Source organism: Homo sapiens, chromosome 3, assembly GCF_000001405.40.
Source record: "Homo sapiens chromosome 3, GRCh38.p14 Primary Assembly".
Taxonomy (NCBI): Eukaryota; Metazoa; Chordata; class Mammalia; order Primates; family Hominidae; genus Homo; species Homo sapiens.
Window position 1 is genome coordinate 109,293,574 of NC_000003.12, and position 24,487 is coordinate 109,318,060.

General features: G+C 44.0%; 1 protein-coding gene across 4 annotated transcripts; it reads right to left on the bottom strand.

The window, feature by feature from the left end:
* Positions 1 to 214: 214 nt before the first annotated feature.
* On the bottom strand, positions 215 to 22,944 carry DPPA2 (developmental pluripotency associated 2). Of its 4 annotated transcripts, none has more exons than XM_011512444.4 (9): positions 22,764 to 22,944; positions 20,937 to 20,982; positions 18,972 to 19,119; positions 15,597 to 15,757; positions 15,453 to 15,506; positions 14,459 to 14,720; positions 10,902 to 11,097; positions 6,798 to 6,862; positions 215 to 431 (listed from the first exon to the last, which is right to left on the bottom strand). In XM_011512444.4, the coding sequence occupies exons 2-8, from the start codon at positions 20,967 to 20,969 to the stop codon at positions 6,820 to 6,822; spliced, it is 897 nt and encodes a 298-aa protein (XP_011510746.1). In that variant the 5' UTR covers positions 20,970 to 20,982; positions 22,764 to 22,944; the 3' UTR covers positions 215 to 431; positions 6,798 to 6,819. The 4 variants fall into 4 exon arrangements, with proteins under 4 accessions (XP_011510746.1, NP_620170.3, XP_011510747.1 ...); NM_138815.4 differs by having other exon boundaries at positions 22,711 to 22,944; XM_011512445.3 differs by lacking the exon at positions 22,764 to 22,944 and adding an exon at positions 22,050 to 22,163.
* Positions 22,945 to 24,487: the final 1,543 nt, after the last annotated feature.

A 24,487-nucleotide genomic window follows, 5' to 3' on the forward strand; every position in this document is an offset into this window, starting at 1 on the left:
ATCATTAACAGATGAAGACCATTTTTCTTCTCACCCTGGTCTCTAGGGTTATGTCTAGACAGACCCATTTACTCTTGTCCCTTCCTTGCTCGAGTCAGGCACCTCTCCCTTATCTGTCCTGTCTGCAGTGCTTCCCATTTGTCTGTGTCCCCAACCACAGTCAGTTTGTAACATCAGAGATTTCCTGATGGATCTTTAACACACACTGAATGAATACAAGGCCAATTGCAGTGACTTTATTTTAATGGGTTTTCAGACATACAGAAAGGGATTCTTTAGATGGGGCTGTGTCACTAGTCAACCATCTTCACTGTGGAGTCCTAGTCACTATGATTTTGTTTTGTAGATCATGAGGATTCATTCAAATTGTCTCCTCTTCCACTCCTTCGTAATAGGTTACATGATCTGAAAGTACATCCCTCCTTTAGTACCTAGAAGCAAATTTGAAATGGTATATTTAAGAGCCGCTTTGAGCTATACGCAGAGTTTGGGGTCAAGAGAGTTAGGGTGTTTTGTGCACTGCAAGAGGAAAAGAAATGGAACAAACGTAACTTTTAATAGAGAAAGAATGGCAGATGGAAATACTAGACAATAGTGTATAGTCAGAATTGGTTTCCTTTGGGTTACTGAATTGGACCCCTTCTTAGTTATTTCAAAGACTAATGATACCATGTTTTCCAATCCTGTGTTGGTCTTCAGGCCAGTCTTTAGGCAAGACATGTTTATACTAGAAGACCATTGATTAATGATACTTTCAGAAGGCAGATGCTATAGCATTTTGAGAGCCTGACTAAGCACTCAACTGGGATGGCTTCCATGTGATGTACAATGTGGAAATTTTTCTGTTCTATTCTCCGTGTAAGTTTGGGCTCATTCTAAAACAGTCTGCCTACTGGACAACTGTGCCATTAGCCATCAATAGGCTGAGTTCAGGAGAGCCTTGTTTTAATTCCACAGAATATACTGCAAGTCACAAGCACACATATTCTCAAGCTCGCAGAGTTCTAAATGTAAGCAGTTAAGTGTAAAGGGTGAGGTGAAGTGCTTACTTGGACCATAACATCTTCCTTAACTGCCCTTCTTCCCTTTCTGCACAGAGCTGAGAACTAAGAGGATAAATTACTAAATTAGCCTTCATTCAGAAGGTTCTGTAGAAAAACTGTTTATTAGCTGGGCGCGGCGGCTCATGCCTGTAATCTCAGCACTTTGGGAAACCGAGGTGGGTGGATCACGAGGTCAGGAGTTCAAGAGCAGCCTGGCCAATACAGTGAAACCCTGTCTCTACTAAAAATACAAAATTAGTCGGGCATGGTGGCCAGTGCCTGTAATCCCAGCTACTTAAGAGGCTGAGGCTGGAGAATCGCTTAAAGCCAGGAGGTGGAGGTTGCTGTGAGCCAAGATTGCACCACTGTACTCCAGCCTGGACAACAAGAGCGAAACTCCATCTCAAAACAAACAAAAAACCAAAAAACTGTTTATTAGTTTTTGATACAAATGTCAGGTTTTGAAAGCTATTGCCAAATTCAATTCAAATTGAGAACTCCATTATTTGATCTGTTGTAATAATTAAATAATTGTTCACATTAATATTTTAAGTAACAAAATTAAGATTGTTTCTATTTGGTATTTGTATAATTTTCTTTTTGGAATAAGAACAAATTATTGGCCAGGTGTGGTGGCTCACACCTGTAATCCCAGCACTTTGGGAGGCTGAGGCAGGCAGATCGCCTGAGGTCAGGAGTTCGAGACCAGCCTGGCCAACATGGAGAAACCTCGTCTCTACTGAAAGTACAATCGTCTCTACTAAAAATACAGGTGACTGCCACCATGCCCGGCTAATTTTTGTATTTTTAGTAGAGGTGGGGTTTTACCATGTTGGCCAGGCTGGTCTCAAACTCCTGACCTCAAATGATCCACCCACCTCGGCCTCTCAAAGTGCTGGGATTACAGATGCAAGCCATCATGCCAGGCCCCTGGTTTTCTTTTATACAATACAAGTCTGATTTATAAATATATACTTATACGTATATATCTATATACACAGATATAATATCTATATTTACATATAGATAGAGAGACAAATAGCATATATATATACAGAAAGAGACAAAAAGCATGATTTGTAGACAAAGGAAGCATCAGATCAAGACTAAGATATGGCAGAGATGTTGAAATTACCAGACCAGGAATTTAAAACAGTGTTGATTAATATGCTAAGGGCTCTAACAGAAAAAGTGGACAAGATACAAAACAGATGAGTAATGCAAGTGGGAAGATGGAAATTCCAAGAATCAAAATAAAATGATAGAAATTAGAAGAAAATACTAACAGAAATGAAAACTGCCTTCATGGACTCATCTATAGCTGGACTGCCAACAAAAGAATCAGAGGGCTTAAACAAATGTCAATAGAAACCTCCAAAACTGAAAAGCAAAATGAAAAATCTTTTTAAAAAGAACTGAATATCCAAGAATTGCGAGGCAATTACAAAAAGGTTTCAACATGTAATGAAAATACCAGAAGAGAGAAAGGAATAGAAAGTTGTGAAGCAATGACTGAAAATATCCCAAAATTAATGACATACAAAACCAGAGATCCAGGAAGCTCAGAGATAGGAAGTAGGATAAACACCAAAAATTCAACACCTAGGCATATCATACTCAAACTGCAGAAAAACAAAGACAAATAGAAAATCGTAAAAGTAAGAGAAAAAAACACCTTAACTGTAAAGGAACAAAGGTAAGAATTACATTGGACTTCTCTCCGTAAGCCTTACAAACAAGAAGAGAGTAAAGTGATATTTAAAAAGAAGGAAACAAAGCTGGGCGTGGTGGCTCACGCCTGTAATCCCAAAACTTTGGGAGGCTAAGGCAGATGGATCACCTGAGGTCAGAAGTTTGAGACCAGCCTGACCAACATGGAGAAACACTGTCTCTACTAAAAATACAAAAATTAGCTGGGTGTCGTGGCACATGCCTGTAATCCCAGCTGCTTGGGAGGCTGAGACAGGAGAATTGTTTGAACCCAGGAGGTGGAGGTTGCAGAGAGCCAAGATCGCGCCATTGCGCTCCAGCTGGGAAAACAAGAGCAAAAACTCTGTCTCAAAAAAAATAATAAAAAAAAAAGGAAGGAAAGAAATGAGAAAATTATCTGCAAAAGATATATCTGATAGAGGACTGTTATTCAAAATATACAAAGACCTCTTAAAACTCAATAATAAAACAACCCAATTAAAAAATGTGCAAAAAGGCCAGGCAAAATCCTAGCACTTTGAGAGGCTGAGGCTGATGGATCACTTGAGCCAGGAGTTCGAGACCAGCCTGGGCAACATGGCAAAACCCCATCTCTACAAAAAAAAATAGAAAAATTAGCCAGGCATGGTAATGTGCACCTGTAGTCCCAGTAGGATACTGAGGTGGGAGAATCTTGCTTGAGCCCAGAAGGTCAAGGCTGCAGTGCGCCATGATCACACCACTGCACTCCAGCCTGGGTGAAAGAGCAAGACATTCTCTCAATAAAAAATAAATAGTAAGTTAAAAAATAAAAATTGTGCAGAAGACCTGAAAAGACACCACACCAAAGAAGATACACAGATGAGAAATAAACATATAAAAAGATGCTCTACTTCATATCATTAAGGAATTCCAAATTTAAAAAAATGTGATACTGGCTGGGCACAGTGGCTCATGCCTGTAATCCCAGCACTTTCAGAGGCCAAGGTGGGCAGATCACCTGAGGTCAGGAGTTTTAGATCAGTCTGGCCAACATGGCGAGACCCCATCTCTACTGAAAATACAAAAATTAACCAGTCATGGTAGCGTGTGCCTGTGGTCCCAGCTACTTGGGAGGCAGAGGCAGGATAATCACTTGAACCCAGGAGGCAAAGGTTGCAGTGAACTGAGATCACGCCACTGCACTCCAGCCTGGGTGACTGCACTCTCTGAGAGAGTCTGTCTCAAAAAAAAAAAAAGCACTGAAATACTGTGGCACGCCTATTAGAATGGCTAAAATCCAAACAATACGAAATACTAAGAAAGATATGGTGCAACAAGAACTCTCATTCATTGCTGGTAGGAATGCAAAATGCTACAGCCACTTTTAAAGACAGTTTGGCAGAAATGAGCTATCAGGCCATGACAACACATGGAGGAATCTTCACTACATATTGCTATCTGAAAGCCAATATGAAAAGGCTACACACTGTATAATTCTAAGTATACACAACATTCTGGAAATGGCAAAGCTATGATAGGCCAGGCACACTGGCTTATGCCTGTAATCCCAGCACTTTGGGAGGCTAAGGCAGAAGGACAGCTTGAGGCCAGAAGTTTGAGACCAATCTCGCCAACACAGTGAGACCCATCTCTACTAAAAATTAAAAAATAAAACTAGCTGGGTACGGTGGCACACACCTGTAGTCCCAGTGTCTCAGAAGGCTGGGCCAGGAGAATCCCTTGAGCCTAGGAGTTCAAGGCTGCAATGAGCTATGACTGCACCATTGCACTCCAGCCTGGGTGACTGAGCAAAAAGATCTATGGTTTCCAGTGTATGGGCTTGCGGGGAGGGATGAATTGGTGCAACACAAGGGATTTCTAAGGTAGTGAAACTATTCTGTATGACACTATGTTGGATAAATGTCATTTTACATTTGTCAAAACCATAGAATGTACAACACGAATAATAAAACCTAATATGAACTATAGAGTTTAGTTAATAATAAGGTATCTGCTCGGTGTAGAGGCTCACACCTGTAATCCCTGAACTCAGGGAGCCTGAGGTGGGAGGACTGCTGGAGCCCAGAAGTTTGACTAGCCTGAGAAACATGGTGAGACCCCATCTCTATAAAAAAATAATAAAATAGCCGGGCACGGTGGCTCACGCCTGTAATCCCAGCCCTTTGGGAGCCCAAGGCGGGTGAATCACGAGGTCAGGAGCTCAAGACCAGCCTGGCCAACATGGTGAAACCCCATCTCTACTAAAAAAATACAAAAAATTAGCTGGGCATAGTGGCGGGTGCCTGTAATCCCAGCTACTCGGAAGGCTGAGGCAGGAGAATCGCTTGAACCTGGGAGGCGGAGGTTCCAGTGAGCTGAGATCGGCGTCACTGCACTCCAGCCTGGTGATAAAGTATGATTCTGTCTAAAAATAATAATAATAATAATAATAATAAAATAGCCAGGCACAGTGGCTCACGCCTGTAATCCCTGCACTTTGGAAGATTAAGCGAGTGGATTGCTTGAGCTCAGGAGTTCAATGGTCTTGAACCAGGCTGTTCACCTGAGCAACACGGTGAAACCCGTCCTCTACCAAAAATTAAAAAAAATTAGCTGGGCATTATGGTGTGTGTCTGTAGTCCCAGCTACTTGGGAGGCTGAGGTGAGAGGATGGCTTGAACACGGAAGGCAGAGGTTGCAGTGAGCTGAGATCGTGCCACTGCACTCCAGCCTGGGTGACAGAGCCAGACCCTGTCTCAAAAATAAACAAATTTTTAAGAAAGAAAAAGAGGCCGGGCACGGTGGCTCACGCCTGTAATCCTAGCACTGGGAGGCTGAGGCAGGTGGATCACCTGAGGTCAGGAGTTCCAGATCAGCCTGGCCAAAATGGTGAAACCCCGACTCTACTAAACATACCAAAAAAAAAAAAAAAAATTGACTGGGGGCTGGGTGCGGTGGCTCCCGCCTGTAATCCCAGCACTTTGGGAAACCGAAGCGGGTGGATCCCAAGATTAGGAGTTCGAGACAAGCCTGGCCAATATGGCAAAACCCCGTTTCTACTAATACAAAAAAATTAGCCGGGTGTGGTGGCACATGCCTGTAATCCCAGCTACTCGGGAGGCTGAAGCAGGAGAGTTGCTTGAACCCGGGAGGTGGGAGGCGGAGGTTGCAGTGAGCTGAGATCACGCCACTGCACTCCAGCCTGGGCAACAGAGTGAGACTCTGTCTCAAAAAAAATAAAATAAAAATTTAGCTGGGCGTGGTGGTGTGCACCTGTAATCCCAGCTACTTGGGAGGCGGAGGCAGGCGAATTGCTTGAACCTGGGAGGCAGGGGTTGCAGTGAGCTGAGATCTCATCATTGTACTCCAGCCTGGGCGACAAGAATGAGACCCCGTCTCAAAAAAAAAAAAAAGAAAAAGAAAAAGAAAAAGAAAAAAGAATAATGTATCAATATTGACTCATTAGTTTTTTTTTTTTTTTAGAGACTATGTTGCCCAGGCTGGAGTGCAGTGGCAATTCACAGGTGTGATCACAGAGAACTACAACCTTGAACTCCTCCTGGGTGCAAGTGATCCTCCTGACTTAGCCTTCCCGGTAGCTGGGACTACAGGTGACTACCACCATGCCCAGCCCTGCCTCATCAATTGTAAAAAATGTAGCACACTAATGCAAGTTACTAACAGAGGAAAATGGAGGGGGTGTGAAGCACCGTGTACATGGGAATACATGGGAACCCTATACTTTTCACTCAAGTTTTCATTTTCAAAAAAGAGTCCATTAATTAAAACAAAACCAAATTGTATTCTGTGCAGCTAACTATTTAGTAAGTCAGTACTCAAGGCATCAGGAGATACCAAAGATGGTCAGGACACAGCACAGCAATGATTGGGATGCAAGTTATCTACAGACGCGCCACCATTTGTACTTCCTGGTAGACAGCAGACAAGAGACTTTGATACATTTATGTCCTGTTTTTTAGTGAATAGGGGGAAGGCAGAGAGTTTCTCTTGTATGTGACTCTTTTCAATTGCCTTCAAATCAAAATAATACTTATTTTGAGGTGGCATATTCTCATCTCTTACATTGTATTCAAACAGGTTGCTGCTACTTCTCTACTGTCATTAATCTTTTCATCATCTTCTTATTCCTGTAAGGCAAGTAGAAAAGAACTGTGAAATATTGCTACAGCAAGGTAAACCATCCCTTACCAATCCCTTTAAAATGACCAATAAAATAAAGCATGCACTTCTGGGCCGGGTGTGGTGGCTCACGCCTGTAATCCTAGCACTGTGGGAGGCTGAGGAGGGCAGATCACCTGAGGTCAGGAGTTTGAGACCAGCCTGACCAATATGGTGAAACCCTGTGTCTGCTAAAATTACAAAAATTAGCCGGTCATGGTGGCACAGGCCTGTAGTCCCAGCTACTCAGGAGGCTGAGACCGGATAATTGTTTGAGTATGGGAGGCAGAGGTTGCAGTGAGCCGAGACCAAGCCACTGAACTTCAGCCTAGGTGACAGAGCGAGACTCAGTCTCAAAAAAAAAAAAAAAAAAAAAGAATGCACTTCTGGAGTTCCTGAGTCATTTGCCCTAAAACCTAGGAATGGTGCACAAAAAGACTTTATGTACTAAATAAAGGAAAAGGGTTGTTCACTTACTCTCAGGGCTTACATTCCACATACTGCAATGGATCTCACATCTTTTTTTTTTTTTTTTAAGACAGGTTCTCACTCTGCTGCCCAGGCTGGAGTGCAGTGGCACTATCACAGTTCACTGCAGCCTTGACTTCCAGGGCTGAGGTGATCCTCCCACCTCAGCCTCCCCAGTAGTTGGGACCACAGGTGCATGCCACCACACCTGGCTAATTTTTTTATATAGAGACAGGGTTTCACTATGTTTCTCAGGCCAGTCTCAAACTCCTAAGCTCAAGTCATCTGCCCACCTTGGCCTCCCAAAGTGCTAGGATTGCAGTTGTGAGCCACCATGCCCGGCTTCCTTCATCTTTATACTCTCCATTCCCCTCTCTTCATGCAGCTCCTCCCCATTCATAAATGCTTATGGTTTTTTCATTTAAAAAAATTTAAGGCTGGGTGCGGTGGCTTACTCCTGTAATCCTAGCACTTTGGGAGGCTGAGGCGAGTGGATCACTTGAGGTCAGGCGTTCCAGACCAGCCTGGCCAACATGGTGAAACCCCATCTCCACTAAAAATACAAAAATTAGCTGGGTGTGGTGGTGCATGCCTGTAATCCCAGCTACTCCGGAGGCTGAGGCAGGAGAATCGCTTGAACCTGGGAGGCAGAGGTTGCAGTGAGCAGAGATCATGCCACTATACTCCAGCCTGGTTGACAGAGCCAGACTCCATCTCAAATAAAAAAAAAATTTAAAAAGGAAAAGAGAGAAAGAAAGAAGAAAAATGGGAAGAAGGGAAGAATGACGAGAGTCAGTGAGGGAGGGAAAAAAGAGAAAGAAAAAGACAGAGAGAGACGAAAAGAAAGGAACCTCCCTTGAGGTTACTGCCTCAACTAACTGCTCTCTCTTCCTGCCAGGCTCAGCTAATGACGGTGATCAACATGTCCTGCTTCTAGTTCTGCACATGTTCTACTCTAAGTTACTGAAATCATATTTTGGCTTCTACTGATCCTCTCAATCTACTTTCAAAAAGGCCATCAGCAGTGTCCTAAACAGCCAGTCCCAAGAGCACCACATTCATCATTACCTTACATGGCCATCTTGCTGCCAACCATTATTTCCTTCTAAGACTCTGTCCATTGCTCCCTTTACTCACTCATCTGCTAACCTCTAACTGTGTTCTGTCTTCGCTGTCCACCTTCCACTGATACGCTGATTATCTTTAGGGTTCCTCCCTCAGTTCCTTCCTACATACTCTTATCCACAATGTATGTGCTGATGACTCCCAAAGATGTTTAGCTCTAACTCATACTTCTCTCAGAACTCTAGAACTTGTCCCAAACACCATAGATTCTTCTCCACTGAATTGGACTTCTATGTTTCCTCCACTTCTAAGACAGCATCTTGCTCTCATTACTCCTACATCTTACATTCGTCTCATTCCTCCTTAAATGCTTTGTCAGTGTAATGAATTATCTCTTTCTGAATTACTAATCTCTTATTTATACTCCCATCTAAGATTTAGCCCACTTTCTTTTCTTTTTCTTTTGTTTTTGAGACGGAGTTTCGCTCCTGTTGCCCAAGCTGGAGAGCAGTGGTGCGATCTTGCCTCACTGCAACCTCCGCCTCCCGTATTCAAACGATTCTCCTGCCTCAGCCTCCCAAGTAGCTGGGATTACAGGCACATGCCACTACGCCCAGCTAATTTTTGTGTTTTTAGTAGAGACGGGGTTTCATCATATTGGTCAGGCTGGTCTCAAACTCCTGACCTCGTGATCCGCCCGCCTCGGTCTCCCAAAGTGCTGGGATTACAGGTGTGAGCCGATTTAGCCCACTTACAAAAAAAAAAAAAAAAAGCCCTTAATTTATCTCCACACCTCTCTCATCTCACTTCCACCCAATTTTATCACCAAAAGCTGAAATTTTTACTCATGGATGGACATCGGGAATTCTATAGTCTAAAGCAGTGTTTATGTGCATGTATATTTTCCTGGAGAGCACATAGTTATCATTATATTCTCAAACAAGTCCATGTCCCAAAAGTTACTGGGAGATGATGACTTACAGGATAATGTAGACATAAAATCTTTCATGGTCTGCTCCTCCACTCCCCAAACTCATTTCTCAATATAAGCTTCAATCACATTGACTAACTGGCAGTTTCTAAATATATTATATTCTTTATTTATTTTTAGTAGAAACAGGGTTTCACCATGTTGGCCAGGCTGGTCTTGAAGTCCTAACCTCAGATGATCTGCCCACCTTGGCCTCCCCAGGTGCTGGGAATACAGGCATGAGCCACTGCAACTGGCCATCATATTTTTTATTTCCCTGTGTTTGTACTGACGACTTCCACAACTGGTAAGCTCTTCCTCAGAACGTGTAATCTTCTCTTAAGTTTCCCTAAGCTATTCCAATATAGATTCTTCCCATATATTTTCATAGCTTTTCTTACTCTTTTTTTTTTTTTTTGAGACGGAGTTTCACTCTTGTTGCCCAGGCTGGAGTGCAATGGCACAATCTCAGCTCACCGCAACCTCTGCCTCCCGGGTTCAGCGATTCTTCTGCCTCAGTCTCCCGAGTAGCTGGGATTACAGGCATGTGCCACCACGCCCAGCTAATTTTGTATTTTTAGTAGAGACGGGGTTTCTCCATATTGGTCAGGCTGGTCTCGAACTCCCGACCTCAGGTGATCCGCCCGCCTCGGCCTCCCAAACTGCTGGGATTACAGGCATGAGCCACCGCGCCTGGCCTTCTTACTCATTTTTAGTTGAGTAGGCTAGATGGATTTTGTTTTTGCATTCCAAGGTGAGTATCTGACATGTATTAAAAACTCAAATGTGTGTTTTTTTCCTTTAGAACAAGTCTCTAAAATTGAGGCAGAAATCAGGTCCTGACTTGTCAGATGCTTTGTTAAGGCTAAGAACTAGCCACATTTAGGCACAGCACGGTGGCTCATGCCCTTAATACCAGTACTTTGGGAGGCCGAGTTGGGTGGATGTCCTGAGGTCAGGAGCTTGAGACCAGCCTGGCCAACATACTGAAACCCTGTCTCTACTAAAAATACAGAAATTAGCCGGGCACGGTGGCTCACACCTGTTATCCCAGCACTTTGGGAGGCCGAGGCGGGCGGATCATGAGGTCAGGAGTTTGAAACCAGCCTGACCAACATGGTGAAACCCTTTCTCTACTAAAAATACAAAAATTAGCTGGGCGTGGTGGTGCATGCCTGTAATCCCAGCTGAGACTCGGGAGGCTGAGGCAGGAGAATCGCTTGAACCCAGGAGGCAGAGGTTGCAGTGAGCTGAGATCATGCCACTGCACTGCAGCCTGGGCGAGAAGAGCAAAACTCCATCTCAAAAAAAAAAAAGAACTAGCCACATTTATTGAGTTGTAATTCACTAGTGAGTTCTTCTTGCATCCTATTTTTGCCTGATCTATGTGGCAAATTAAGAAGACAGCATGTTCGCCCTCTGCTTTCTACTGTTAAATTATTTAGAAATCCATCTATACACCTACTTTTCTGTGTGCCATGCTTAACAAGATACATAAGGGTTACCTCTTAGCACAGTCGGGGCATAACATATTATCTTCTATGCCTGGGGATGGGAAAATGCAGGCAGGTAACAAGAAGAGAGAAATCATCCTCCTGTGAGTGGTAGGCACCCAGGCCTGACCTGCATGAAACTGCAGGCGTACCCAACCCTTTGTGTCTGCCGAGAGAAGTCTGCCATGGACCACACACCACCTGACGCCTGGAAAGGAAAAACAAATATAGACAGCAAAAATCAAGATAGCACCCCAACACAACCTCTCAGCAAGTCACTCTTGAATTTGCTCTTGTATTCTGCTCACAAATCAATTGAATGAGATGCATGAAAACCTAGACCACATGACACTATGATCTAATTTCACAAGTTACATAACACAAAGAATAGTAATTGTTGCTGGCTAGGCGCGGTGGCTCACGCCTGTAATCCCAGCACTTTGGGAGGTTGAGGCGGGAGGATCATCTAAGGTGGGGAGTTTGAGACCAGCCTGACCAATGTGGAGAAACCTCATCTCTACTAAAAATGCAAAATTAGCTGGGCATGGTGGCACATGCCTGTAATCCCAGCTACTCGGGAGGCTGAGGCAAGAGAATAGCTTGAACCCGGAAGGCAGAGGTTGTGGTGAGCTGAGATCACACCACTGCACTCCAGCCTGGGTGACAAGAGCAAAACTCCATCTCAAAAAATAATAATACTAATAATAATAAAATAAAATAAAATAAAAAATAATGGTTGCCATTTTGAAATGCTTGTTTTGTGTCCAATATTTTGCTAGGTGATTTATGTGTATTAATACATTTACTCTTAAGTACACTATTAATATTTACCTTCTATTTGCTTTTCTTATTATTTCTTATTCACAGGTGAGATAAACGAAGCTTATGGTGTTAAATATCATAAGTTACTCAGAGCCAAGTCATGGATCCAGGTATTCTGACTGACTTACAGTCCATTTACCTAACCACTACATTGTACTGCCTCAGCTATAGGAAACAGACAAGCGTCTGTTTAAAAGTGTAAGGAACAGGCTGGGCGTGGTGGCTTACGCCTGTAATCCCAGCACTTTGGGAGGCATAGGTGGGTGGATCACCTGAGGTCAGGAGTTCGAGACCAGCCTGACCAACATGGCGAAACCCCATCTCTACTAAAAATACAAAATTAGCTGGGTGTGGTGGCACGCGCCTGTAATCCCAGCTACTCAGGAGGCTGAGGCAGGAGAATCGCCTGAACCTGGGAGGCAGAGGTTGCAGTGAGCTGAGATCACGCCATTGCACTCCAGCCTGGACAACAAGAGTGAAACTCCATCTCAAAAAAAAAAAAAAAAAACGCGTAAGGAACAATTTAAGTAGGGAGATGTGATATTTGCAAGAAAACAAGCAGTACTCTTATGGAACGTCTGAAATTGAGAGAAAGTCAGTATTCTGAAAGACCTACAGCCCATTTACCTAACCACTACATTGTACTGCCTCAGCTACAGGAAACAGACAAGTGTCTGTTTAAAAGTGTAAGGAACAATTTAATTAAGGAGACGGGATATTTGCAAGAAAATAAGTGGTACACTCATGGAACGTCTGAAATTGAGGGAAAGGAGCAGTCACAGTGAATTTACATATCTGTAAATAAGCAGTACATGTAGTGTGATAGCTCCCCGATTAGACTGTGAAACAAGAGAAGATGTGTGTGTTTAGCACAGTATATACCCAGCAGCTAGACATACCTCTGGACCACAGCAGATGCTTAACAATTGCAGAATGAAGAGAAATATAAAATGATAAGTCACTGTGGGATAATAGTAACTCATACAGCATATTATTAAAAATTAGAAAGAGGTGTCCTCTTTGGGAAGGCAGTGCCCCCAGGCACACAGCTTTATGGCTGGACAATGCCTTTGCACAAATTATTAAAAGGTGCCCACTGTCCCCACATAAACGAATGTAGCTTGAAGAGCAGAGGATATGCCAATTTCAACTTCAAGTCTTCCTTCTGGCTGGTTTCCTTGTATGATGAATAATGTGTCCTACCATACTAGTTAGCTGGAATAAAATAGGATCTAGAATACTTCTGGAAATGGGAAAATGGGGGAGTAAAAAAAGGATTCAAGCCAAAAAGGAAGGTGACTTGAGATAGCAGACCCTGGAAATAAAAGCAATAGCAAGAAAAGAAGAGCAGGAGTTGGAGAAAAGTGGAGTTAAGTTATCCTCAAGATTTCTTAGAGGGCCCCAGGCGCGGTAGCTCACGCCTGTAATCCCAGCACTTTAGGAGGCCAAGGCAGGTGGATCACCTGAGGTTGGGAGTTCGAGACCAGCCTGACCAACATGGAGAAATCTCGCCTCTACTGAAAAAAAAAAAATACAAAATTAGCCAGGCATGGTGGCGCATGACTGTAATCCCAGCTACTCGGGAGGCTGAGGCAAGAAAATTGCTTGAACCTGTGACCTCAGGTGATTCACGTGCCTTGGCCTCTCAAAGTGCTGGGATTAAAAGCGTGAGCCACTGTGCCCGGCCAAGATTTTTTTTTTAAAGACAGAGTCTGGATCTGTCTGTCAGGCCAGAGTGCCATGGCACAATCTCAGCTCACTGCAACCTCTACCTTCTGGGCTCAAGCCACTCTCCCACCCCAGCCTCCTGAGTAGCTGGGACTACAGGCACACACCACCATGCCCGGCTTTTTTTCGTATTTTTTGTAGACAGGGTATTTCACCATGTTACCCAGGCTGGTCTCTAACTCAGGAGCTCTAGCAATCCTCCCACCTCGGCCTCCCAAAGTTATAGGCATACAGGCATGAGCCACCAAGCTCAGCCACTACTATTCTATGAAACATGTAAATCTTCATTTTATATAACAGGATACTTGGCCGGGAGCAGTGGCTCACACCTGTAATCCCAACACTTTGGGAGGCCGAGGTGGGTGGATGGTCTGAGGTCAGGGGTTCGAGACCAGCCTGGCCAACATAGTGAAACCCCCTCTCTACTAAAAATACAAAAAATTAGCTGGGCGTGGTGGTGGGTGCCTGTAATTCCAGCTACTCAGGAGGCTGAGGCAGGAGAATTGCTTGAAACTGGGAGGCAGAGGTTGCAGTGAGCCAAGATCGCGCCATTGCACTCCAGCCTGGGCAACAAGAGCGAAACTCCATCTCAAAAAAAAAAAAAAAAAAAAAAGAACAGGATACTAAGGCTTAAAGTAAGTAACTTGCCAATGTCACATATCCAGGAAATGGTAAAGCAAGAATTTGAACCAACACATTCCTCTTATTCACTATGTCATAAATGCCTTAAGGAAGAGAGAAAGAAAAGGGGAAGACCTCAGACTGTGGTCCAAGATTATCAGGTTATGCTTAGTGATGGAAAAGGGCCACTACTCAGTCACCTGATTTAGAGACCCATCCAGACACAACATGACTATCCATCAATATGACAGATAGAAGAAAGATGTCCCATGTGAATCCAATTTCTAATCTTCAGATATTTTAGCAAATGCCTTCCCTTTGACCACGTTTCAGTCTTGGACTAATAAAAGTTAACCTTGTCCTCTGGAGTGGGACTCACACTTTAAGGTTGATCTTACCAGAGGCTTGCATCAAAAAGGCCTCAACAGAAACAGGAATGGAACATGAATTCAAAGCCTTAGGCTGAACAGCTCTTGCAGCAATTCTTGCCCATGATGCCAACATGGCTCCCGGTGCTGAAGTTATCACTTCAACTGTATTGGTCTCTTCTGCTCTCTCATTCATCTCATAACTTCTCTGAAGCCTTGCTCTCTTGGTCACTGCCTTGCGTTTCCTCGAACATCGCTGTAATCTGGTCTCTTGTGACATTTCAGGCATATCCTGCAAATGAAATTCACGATGAGTATTCAGTAAACCGCTAGGGCTGTAAGGACTTTTGGGTCAATTTTATTATTCTTTTTTTTTTTGAGACGGAGTCTCGCTCTTGTTGCCCAGGCTGGAGTGCAATGGCACGATCTCGGCTCACCGCAACCTCCGCCTCCCAGGTTCAAGCTATTCTCCTGCCTCAGCCTCCCTAGTAGCTGGGATTATAGGCATGTGCCACCATGTCCGGCTAATTTTGCATTTTTAGTAAAGACGGGGTTTCTCCATGTTGGTCAGGCCGGTCTCGAACTCCTGACCTCAGGTAATCCACCCGCCTCGGCCTCCCAAAGTGCTGGGATTACAGGCATGAGCCACCACACCCGGCCAATTTTATTATTCTTTGTACTGACCTGAACATGTATGTCAATGTGGGAAGGGTTTCGGAATATTAGTTCCCATAAACTGTAAATTCTCCACTGGGAGAAATTTTGGGTTGTTGAAACTGTGCAGGGGGAGGAAAGGTTGCAACTGACATCCAGCTGGTAGAGGCTGGGGATGCTGCAAAACATACTACAATGTACAGGGCAGCCCCCAAAACAAACAAAAAATTATTTGTTCCGAAATATCAATAATGCCACAGTGAAGAAACCCTGCCTTAGAGGTACAACACATAGATATGGTGCGACGGTAGGGACCGGACGAATCATGATCAGAACCCACCTTCACACCATCAACACACTCATTACTCACTTGCCGTTGTTCAGGGTAAGCATGCCTATGAAGCCTCAGATAAACTTCGATTTTCTTAGGAAATGAAGAGAGAGATTAAGTTAAAAGTTGACAAAGACTCCCATAATTATTCCCAGCAGCAGATATTCACCCAAGTGTACTAACCTTGCCATTAGTACTCAAACCGAGTTGTTGACACCAGTCCCGCAAAGTGTCCCGACACACCTTATTAATGGGAGGCAAAATGGTCGGCAAGGGAAGGGCTGGTATTTTGCATCTAGCTTTTTGTGGAGCTGTAAATTGCTCATTTGTTTGAAGTAGATGACCTAAGACAAGAATGGAACCAAAGTAGTAATAATTTAAAGTTGGCAAGATTATTTTAAAATTTTACAAAGATCTAGGGTCGGGCACGGTGGCTCACGCCTGTAATCCCAGCACTTTGGGAGGCCGAGGTAGGCAGATCACGAGGTCAGGAGATCGAGACCATCCTGGCTAACATGGTGAAACCCCGTCTCTACTAAAAAAATACAAAAAACTTAGCCGGGCGTGCTGGCGGGCGCCTGTAGTCCCAGCTACTTGGGAGGCTGAGGCAGGAGAATGGCATGAACCCGGGAGGTAGGGTTTGCAGTGAGCCAAGATCATGCCACTGCACTCCAGCCTGGGCGACAGAACAAGACTCCGTCTCGTCTCAAAAAAAAAATTTTACAAAGATCTTTTCACATTTCTCACAACCCAATTTGCATATACACATATCAATTTTTATTTCTCATATTAAAAATGAGGTAACAAGGCCGGGCACGGTGGCTCACACCTATAATCCCAGAACTTTGGGAGGCTGAGGCAAATTCGCCCAAATTACTTGAGGTCAGGAGATCGAGACCAGCCCGGCCAACATGGTAAAACCCCGTCTCTACTAAAAATAGAAAAATTACCTGGGCATATGGCCAGGCATGGTGGCTCATGCCTGTAATCCCAGCACTTTGGGAGGCCGAGGTGGGTGGATCACCTGGGAGTTTGAGACCAGCCTGACCAATATGGAGGAACCCTGTCTCTACTAAAAAAAAAAATTCAAAATTAGCCAGGTGTGGTGGCACATGCCTGTAATCCCAGCTACTAGGGAGGCTGAGGCAGGAGAATCGCTTGAACCTGGGAGGCGGAGGTTGTGGTGAGCCAAGATCGCGCCATTGCACTCCAGCCTGGGCAACAAGAGTAAAACTCCGTCTCAAAAAAAAAAAAAAAAAAGAAAAATTACCTGGGCATGGGGGTGCACACCTGCAATCCCAGCTCCAGCTACTCAGGAGGCTGAGGCAGGAGAATTGCTTGAACCCAGGAGGCAGAGGCGGCAGCGAGCTGAGATCACACCACAGCACTCCAGCCTGGGCAATACAGTGAGACTCTGTCTCAAAAAAAAAAAAAAAAAAAAAAGGGAGGTAAGAGATTCAGGTATTTAAAGACTTGCCCATTATAATAGCAGACCTGGGACTCAAACCTATGTAGGTTTTTTTTGTTGTTTTTTTTTGAGACGGAGTTTCGCTCTATTGCCCAGGCTGGAGTGCAGTGGCGCGATCTCAGCTCACTGCAACCTCCGCCTCCTAGGTTCAAGCAATTCTCCTGCCTCAGCCTCCCGAGTAGGTGGGACTACAGGCACGCGCCACCATGCCCAGCTAATTTTTGTATTTTTAGTAGAGACGGTGTTTCACTATGTTGGCCAGGCTGGTCTCGAACGCCTGACCTTGTGATCTGCCCTCCTTGGCCGCCCAAAGTGCTGGGATTACAGGCATGAGCCACCGCACCCAGCTTGCTTTGTTTTGTTTTGAGACAGGGTCTTGCTCTGTCACCTAGGCTGGAGTGCAGTGGTGCGATCTCGGCTCACTGCAACCTCCACCTTCCAGGTTCAAGTGATTATCATGCCTCAGCCTCCTCAGTAGCTGGGACTACAGGCTTGTGCCACCATGCCTGGATAATGTTTGTATTTTTTGTAGAGACAGGGTTTCTCCATGTTGGCCAGGTTGGTCTTGAACCCCTGGCCTCAAGTGATCAGCCCTCCTTGGCCTCCCAAAGCACTGGGATTATAGGTGTAAGCCATCATGTCCGGCCTCAAACCTATGTTTGGATTCTAAAATCCACGTTTCTTTTATGCTACATATAGCAGCCTGTTATTTTCTGTTGCCCTCAACAACCAACTGAATAGAACATTATGTTGGATTTATCCTCCAAAATGTCTAGATTTTGGACCACAAAATATCAGCTCTTCCTATAGAAATCAAAGAAACCATCACATTGTCTATCCCCAATCAACAATGGTCCACATCATTCTGTCAGCCTGAATCATTTTTCTCTACAGCTCCCCATTTCACCTCACTCTGCTTAGCTCTAACCCATCATTATTTACTTCATCTTGAAATCCTCATTATTGGCCTAGAAGATAAAATCCTTCTGAAAATACTTATTTGGGCCGGTCGCAGTGGCTCACGCCTGTAATCCCAGCACTTTGGGAGGCCAAGGTGGGTGGATCACCTGAGGTCAGAAGTTTGAGACCAGCCTGGACAACGTGGCAAAACTCCATCTCTATTAAAAATACAAACATTAGCTGGGCGTGGTGGTGGGCGCCTGTAATTACAGGTACTAGGGAGGCTGAGGCAGGAGAATCGCTTGAACCCAGGAGGCGGAGGTTGCAGTGAGCCAAGACTGCACCAATGCACTCCAGCCTTTGCAACAAGAACAAAACTCCGTCTCCAGAAAAATTTAAAAAAAAAAAGAAAAAAAACACTTATTTGATGCTTTTATAGGAAGCACTAAGACACTGAGCACAGATACAAAGGGTCATGATTTTAAGAGCTGCTATTCGTAATTACTTGCTAAGCAAAATACCAGATGTTTTCCAAAATTATTTAATCTTCGTAGGAGGCAAATATGTATTCATCTCGTTTTTATAGAAGAGGAGATTGAGCTTTATGTGTTGGGAATTTGAACTCATGTGGAGCTGGTCCAGAAGAGCACTCTCTGTCCAAAGCGCTCCCCATGCTTATTTTGTGTCTTAAAAGTAAGGCAGTACAGGCCAGGCGTGGTGGCTAATGCCTGTACTTTGGGAGACTGAGGCGGGCACATCACTTGAGGTCAGGAGTTCGAGACCAGCCTGGCCAACATGGTGAAAGCCCGTCTCTACTAAAAATACAAAAATTAGCCAGGCTTGGTGGCCCATGCCTGTAATCCCAGTGACTTGGAAGGCTGAGGCAGGAGAATCGCTTGAGCTCAGAAGGCGGAGGTTGCAGTGAGCCAAGACTGCGCCACTGCACTCCAACCTGGGTGACACGGTGAGACTCCATCTCCAAAAAATAAATAAATTAATTAAAGTATGGCAGTACATTGGGCTTAGCAAGCGAGAAGTATGAGAGTTTGCAAAATTTCTTAACACAGATTAACAAGGTGAGATTTAAGCTGGGTGTTGTATAGTCAGAGGATAGGAAAGACAAATCTTACTTTTTCCTGGGCTTCCCAGAGTTGTAGGAGTAACTAACTGAGCAATCCCTGTCCTCATACCTGGATTGTATTTCTTAGGCTTCTCCAGTTTGACATCAGAAGTTGAAGAAACGCTTGGTTCCATTTGTTCCATATTTGCGTCATCTTTAACTGGCACCAGTGTCAAAATCACACTTTCCTCATCATCTACTTCCCCCTCCAAGAAATTCTGGAAAGAGAAGTCAGTCACTGATTTTCATTTGATGCGGTACAACTAAACTGCTTGCTTTCAAGGCAAAAGTCATGAATAAGGAACTGAGAAGACAGTAGGTGGATGGAGAAAAGAATTACTGGGATTCCTAGAATGTGATGTTGATTAGCAGACCCTTTATTAAATAAAGGAAACATGGAAAAAAACGGGCAAAAGCCAATTTACATGTAGGTGTTAATGAAAGAGAAAATAGAAGGGTAGGGCTTGGGTTTAGAGAATTATTTCCCTCAGGGCCTTCCTCCTCATCAGCCAAAACACAAAATACTTTCATTAAGTCTCCTAAATCTGTATGGAGTGTGTTCCTGCCTTTCCATCTTCTATCACATGATTCCCAAGATTCCCAATTCCCATATCAAATTTCACAGCACAAGCAATAACCTCCTGTTATCCCCAAATCCACTGTAACTCTGCTATTTCTGCACCGATTGTTCCATGCTTGTTGAAAATTATTCAATGGCTTGTCATTGTTATTCTGGTTAATGACAAAACTCAAATTAGCTCACAGAGCTGTGTAGCTTACAAATTCTCCAACAGTCTGGTCCCTGCCTGCCTCTCCAGCTCATGACCTCTGAGCTTTCTGAGCTCCAGCCACACTGGGCTCATTTCAGCTCCAAGACCTGAGGAGAGTGTATCTGTTTTACTCTCTGTTGCTTTCACAGAAACACAGCAGTCTACACAGAGTAGGCATTCAATGTTGTTTTTATGATCTGATGAATAAAAGATAAAGTAGAAAAGCAGGTAGATAGAAAGAAACTAACATTTACTGGTTCTCTACAGTACACAGGCACTATGCTAGGTGTTCTTTATTTCTCAAATTTAATTCTCATAGTATACTTGTAGTAATTTATTAATTTTCCTGCTTTACAAATGAGGAAACTAAATGAGCAATGCCATAGAGTAACACAGGCTTGAGTATGGTTCTGAAGTTAGCTTTTCTTCTCAAATCCAAGGGTGAATAAACTCCATTCCAGTCCTATTGCAATATTCTCTTCTAGTGCTGATGCCACACTCCTGTCTCCTATTTAACCTCTTCAGTAGTTTCCCATTACTCTTAGTTTACTTCAAAATAACACTGACATTATTTAGGGAATACTACTCTATTACAGAGAAAAGTAGGGGCTCAAAGCAGCTATGTGACTTCCCCATAATCATATAGCTAATATTGGCCAATTCAGTCCTTTAGCCAGAGGACGGGTACAGTGATGCCTGTAAATACACTATGACACCTCCTCTAGTTTCTCATAGAGCCAGGACTACCCAAGCCTAATCTTGAAACTCATTTGGTACCAAGGCCACTGGGAGTAGATATTTCCTACTCTGAAAGAAAGTAACCAATTGGTCACTTTACTTTATGACTTTATCCACATTACCGCCTTCACTTTCTTTTCACCTTTGCTTTTAAAAAAAAACTTATTTTTAATTTTTAATTATCTTTTCTCTAATATTATTATTCTCCATGCCATTTTTATTTATTTATTTTTACCATTTTTATCTTGTCCAGCTATAGCACTTCTCATCTTTCCTACCAAAGAAATATTTTCCTTTGGACTAAGAGGAGAAAATTTTACTTCTTTTTACTCTCATCCAAATGCACATAAAAGCACAATCACATGAAAGAAAACTAACAATCTATTTGCAAAGAAGAGGAGGTTTCAAGATGGAGATTTCTTACATCCAGGAATGAAGATTTGTGGTAAAAGAGAAACATAAGGGAGACCTAGAAAGACTCTGAAAAGCGACTGTGAGAAAAGTAATTCTATTAGAATGAAACTTACCTTCTTGCTGCTATCCAAATTTGCATCTGACATTTTCAGCAACACCCTGGGGAAGGCAAGGACAGCAATGTTAAGGATATGGTAGTTTACTTCTCTTAACCTGCTTTCTCCTTTTATAAGCAAATGTTTCCTTCTACTTCCTGTTACCCAGATGAGCTCTTGTTTTCCTTTCCTCCTCTTTTTGCCCTCCCTCATTTTCTGGTAATGGGATAATTTTATCAATTTTATACCCTGTCTTGTCCATTCAGTGACAATGTTTTTTTAAAAATTAGGCTGGGTGCGATGGCTCATGCCTGTAATCCCAGCACTTTGGGAGGCCCAGGGGGGGCGGATCGATTGAGTCCAGGAGTTCGAGATCAGCCTGGGAAACATGGCGAGACCCCCATTTCTACAAAAAAACACAAAAATTAGGCGGGCGTTGTGGCGAGCGCCTGTAATCCCACCTACTCGGGAGGGGTTGGTGGGAGGACTGCTTGAGCCCAGGAGGCGCAGGTTACAGCGATCCGAGATCGCACCACTGCACTCCAGCTTCGCGAGACTCTGTCTCAACAAGTGAAAGAAGGAAAGAAAGAAGAAAAAAAAATAGGTGAAACTTGAAAGAAAACTGAAAATGACAAACACTTGTTGACAAGTTCCAATGGAATGAACAGAATGTTTTAGAACAGTTATAAGACGATATTGGTAACAAATTACTTATTACGAAGGGAATGGAAAAAAGATTCAGAGCATTTTACGCAGGTATTTTATACCTGATTTATGCACGGGGGTATGTTACTCACTGAAAGATTCCAGATTTAAATTGTGGGGGTTGGATAACATAATCTCTCTTCGATCTAGTTCTAAATACAAATATTAAGCCTGCAATAATATTGAGCTGGTTGGAGGAGAAGGATTTGGCTGTTCAGAATAGCAACAAGAGCCAAAACACCAAGGCAAGTGGTGGAGTAACGAAGGCAGAAGGAACGATGCACTTAGGAATTGCTGGAGCCTAATGTTGGACACGGAATGTGGCAAAATATGAAGCAGGTGTTCTCATAGGTCACTCTAAGAAGCCAGAGCAACTAAAGGAAATTTCATTCACCAATAATATGGCAGCACTGGACAACCAAGTACCTTTACAATGGGCTTTTTCTGTCCCTGGGAAAATGATTTGGTCCATTAATCTCAGGACCCAGGGTGACCATGGTCCATTTAAGTTACTAGTGTATTTAACACATTCAAAATATTGTCTGGACCTGGCACGGTGGCTCATGTCTGTAATCCTTTGGGAGGCCTTTGGGAGGCCGAGGAAGGACGACCACTTGAGTCCAGAAGTTCGAGACCAGCCTGGGCAATATAGTGAGACCTCATCTCTATGAATAAATAAATAAATAAATAAATTTACAAAAGAAAAAAATGTAGTCTGAAAAAGCTCAGCTTCAGTTTACTGAGGAACTGATTGGAAAAATAAATTATGAGGCCCCACCCCACCACCCAAGACATCCTGAATCAGATCATGGAGGGTGAGGCTGAGGGGCTGAGGAATCTGTGCTTCCACAAGCCCTCCAGGTAATTTTTTCTTTTTTTCTTTTTTTAGACAGGCTCTGACGCCCAGGCTGGAGTGCGGTGGCGCGATCATAGCTCACTGCAGCCTCGACCTCCTGGACTCAAGCGATCTTCCCACTACAGCCCATGCCGTCCCACCCCCGCCCCTCCCCCCACACTCCAGTAGTTGGGATTACAGGCCCGCGCCACCACGCCCCGCTAATATTTAAATTTTTTGTAGAGAGGAGACCTGGGATGGAAGGAGATTGCGGGGACGGAGAGGATGTGGGTAGGGGGCCTCACTGTGTTGCCCAGGCTGGTCTTGAATTCCTGGCTGAGTTCCCAGACTCAAGTTGATCCTCCCTCCGCAGCCTTCGGAGTGGGTGGGACTACAGGCCTGCACCGCCACGCCCAGCCCTCCGGACGATTCTTAAGCTCCTGAAGTCTAGAAGCCTTAGCTAGATCAGGCCATAAACAAAGGGCTTTGGAGACAGGCAGTCCGCGGCAGATAATGATCGGAATTCCGGCTCCTCCCTTCCAGGGTGGAACCTGAATGCAGCCCTCTAAGATGCAGCCAGGAAAGCACTCCGCCTACCCGGTTGGGTGTGGCCCCTGGTGCTTTGAATGGGCAATTTAGAGGAAAGCTGACCTAATGGCCTGAGTTGATCCTAATGCCTTAGGTAGGGACAGGATTTCGAGTGGGAAGACCATTTCATTACCATGTTTTCTTTTCTTCATTGCATTTTTTACAATATAATCATTTTAGGCCGGGCGCGGTGGCTCACGTCTGTAATCCCAGCACTTTGGGAGGCGGAGGCGGGCGGATCACCTGAGGTCAGGAGTTCAAGACCAGTCTGGCTAACATGGCGAAACCCCGTCTCTACTAAAAATACAAAAATTCGCCGGGCATGGTGGCACATGCCTGTAATCCGAGCTACTAGGGAGACTGAGGCAGAACAATCGCTTGAACCCGGGAGGCGGAGGTTGCGGTGAGCCGAGATTGCGCCATTGCACTCCAGCCTGGGCAACAAGAGCGAAACTCCGTCTCAAAAAAAAAAAAAAAGTAAGAAAATCTATGAAAATCTATGGGAAGAATCTATATTGGAATAGCTTAGGGAAACTTTAGAGAAGATTACACTTTTTGAGGAAGAGCTTACCAGTCGTGGAAGTAGTCAATACAAACAGGGAACAGACTCCCTAGCTACTCGGGAGTCTGAGGCACGAGAATCGCTTGAACCCAGGAGGTGGAGATTGCAGTGAGCCAAGATCACGCCACTGCACTCCAGCCTGGGCGACAGAGAGAGACTCTGTCCCCCCAAAAAAAAAAAAAAAAAAATCTTATTTGTTTTCCTGGGGTTTTTTCCCCAGCTTTTTGAGAATGTTTTATTATGGGAAGGTTCAAACATGTACAAAAGTGTGTCTACTTTTTGTCATAGTAATTTACTTACAGCCAGTCTGGTTACATCTAAATTGCCGTCCATTCCTCCTCCATGGGTTATTTTGAAACAAGTGCCAGATCGCCTATGATTTCGTTCATAAATTCAGGGAAAAGGCCGGTGCCATGGCTCACACCTGTAATCTCAGCACGTCAGGAGGCCGAGGTGGCAGGAACAGTTGAGCCCAAGAGTATGAGACCAGCCTCGGCAAGATAGTGAGATCTCATTGTTACCAAAAAAATAAAAATGAAAATAAAAATAAAATAACCGGGCGTGTGGGTGTGGTGAGACATGCCTGTGGTCCTAGCTACTCAGGGGGCTGAGGTCAGAGGATCCCTTCAGCCCAGGAGCCCGAGGCTGCAGTGAGGCTGTCTCAATAAATAAATAAATAAATCCAGGGGGAAAAAATACTTCGTTCCTATTATAACTACGATATCCTTTTTACATCTAAACATAATTTAAAAAATCATTATTTAATATTATCAAAGTATTCAAATATATGTTATGTTCAAATATCCAGCAGTATTCAAAACTCCAATTATCTGGCTGGGCACCGTGGCTCACGCCTGTAATCCCAGCACTTTGGGAGGC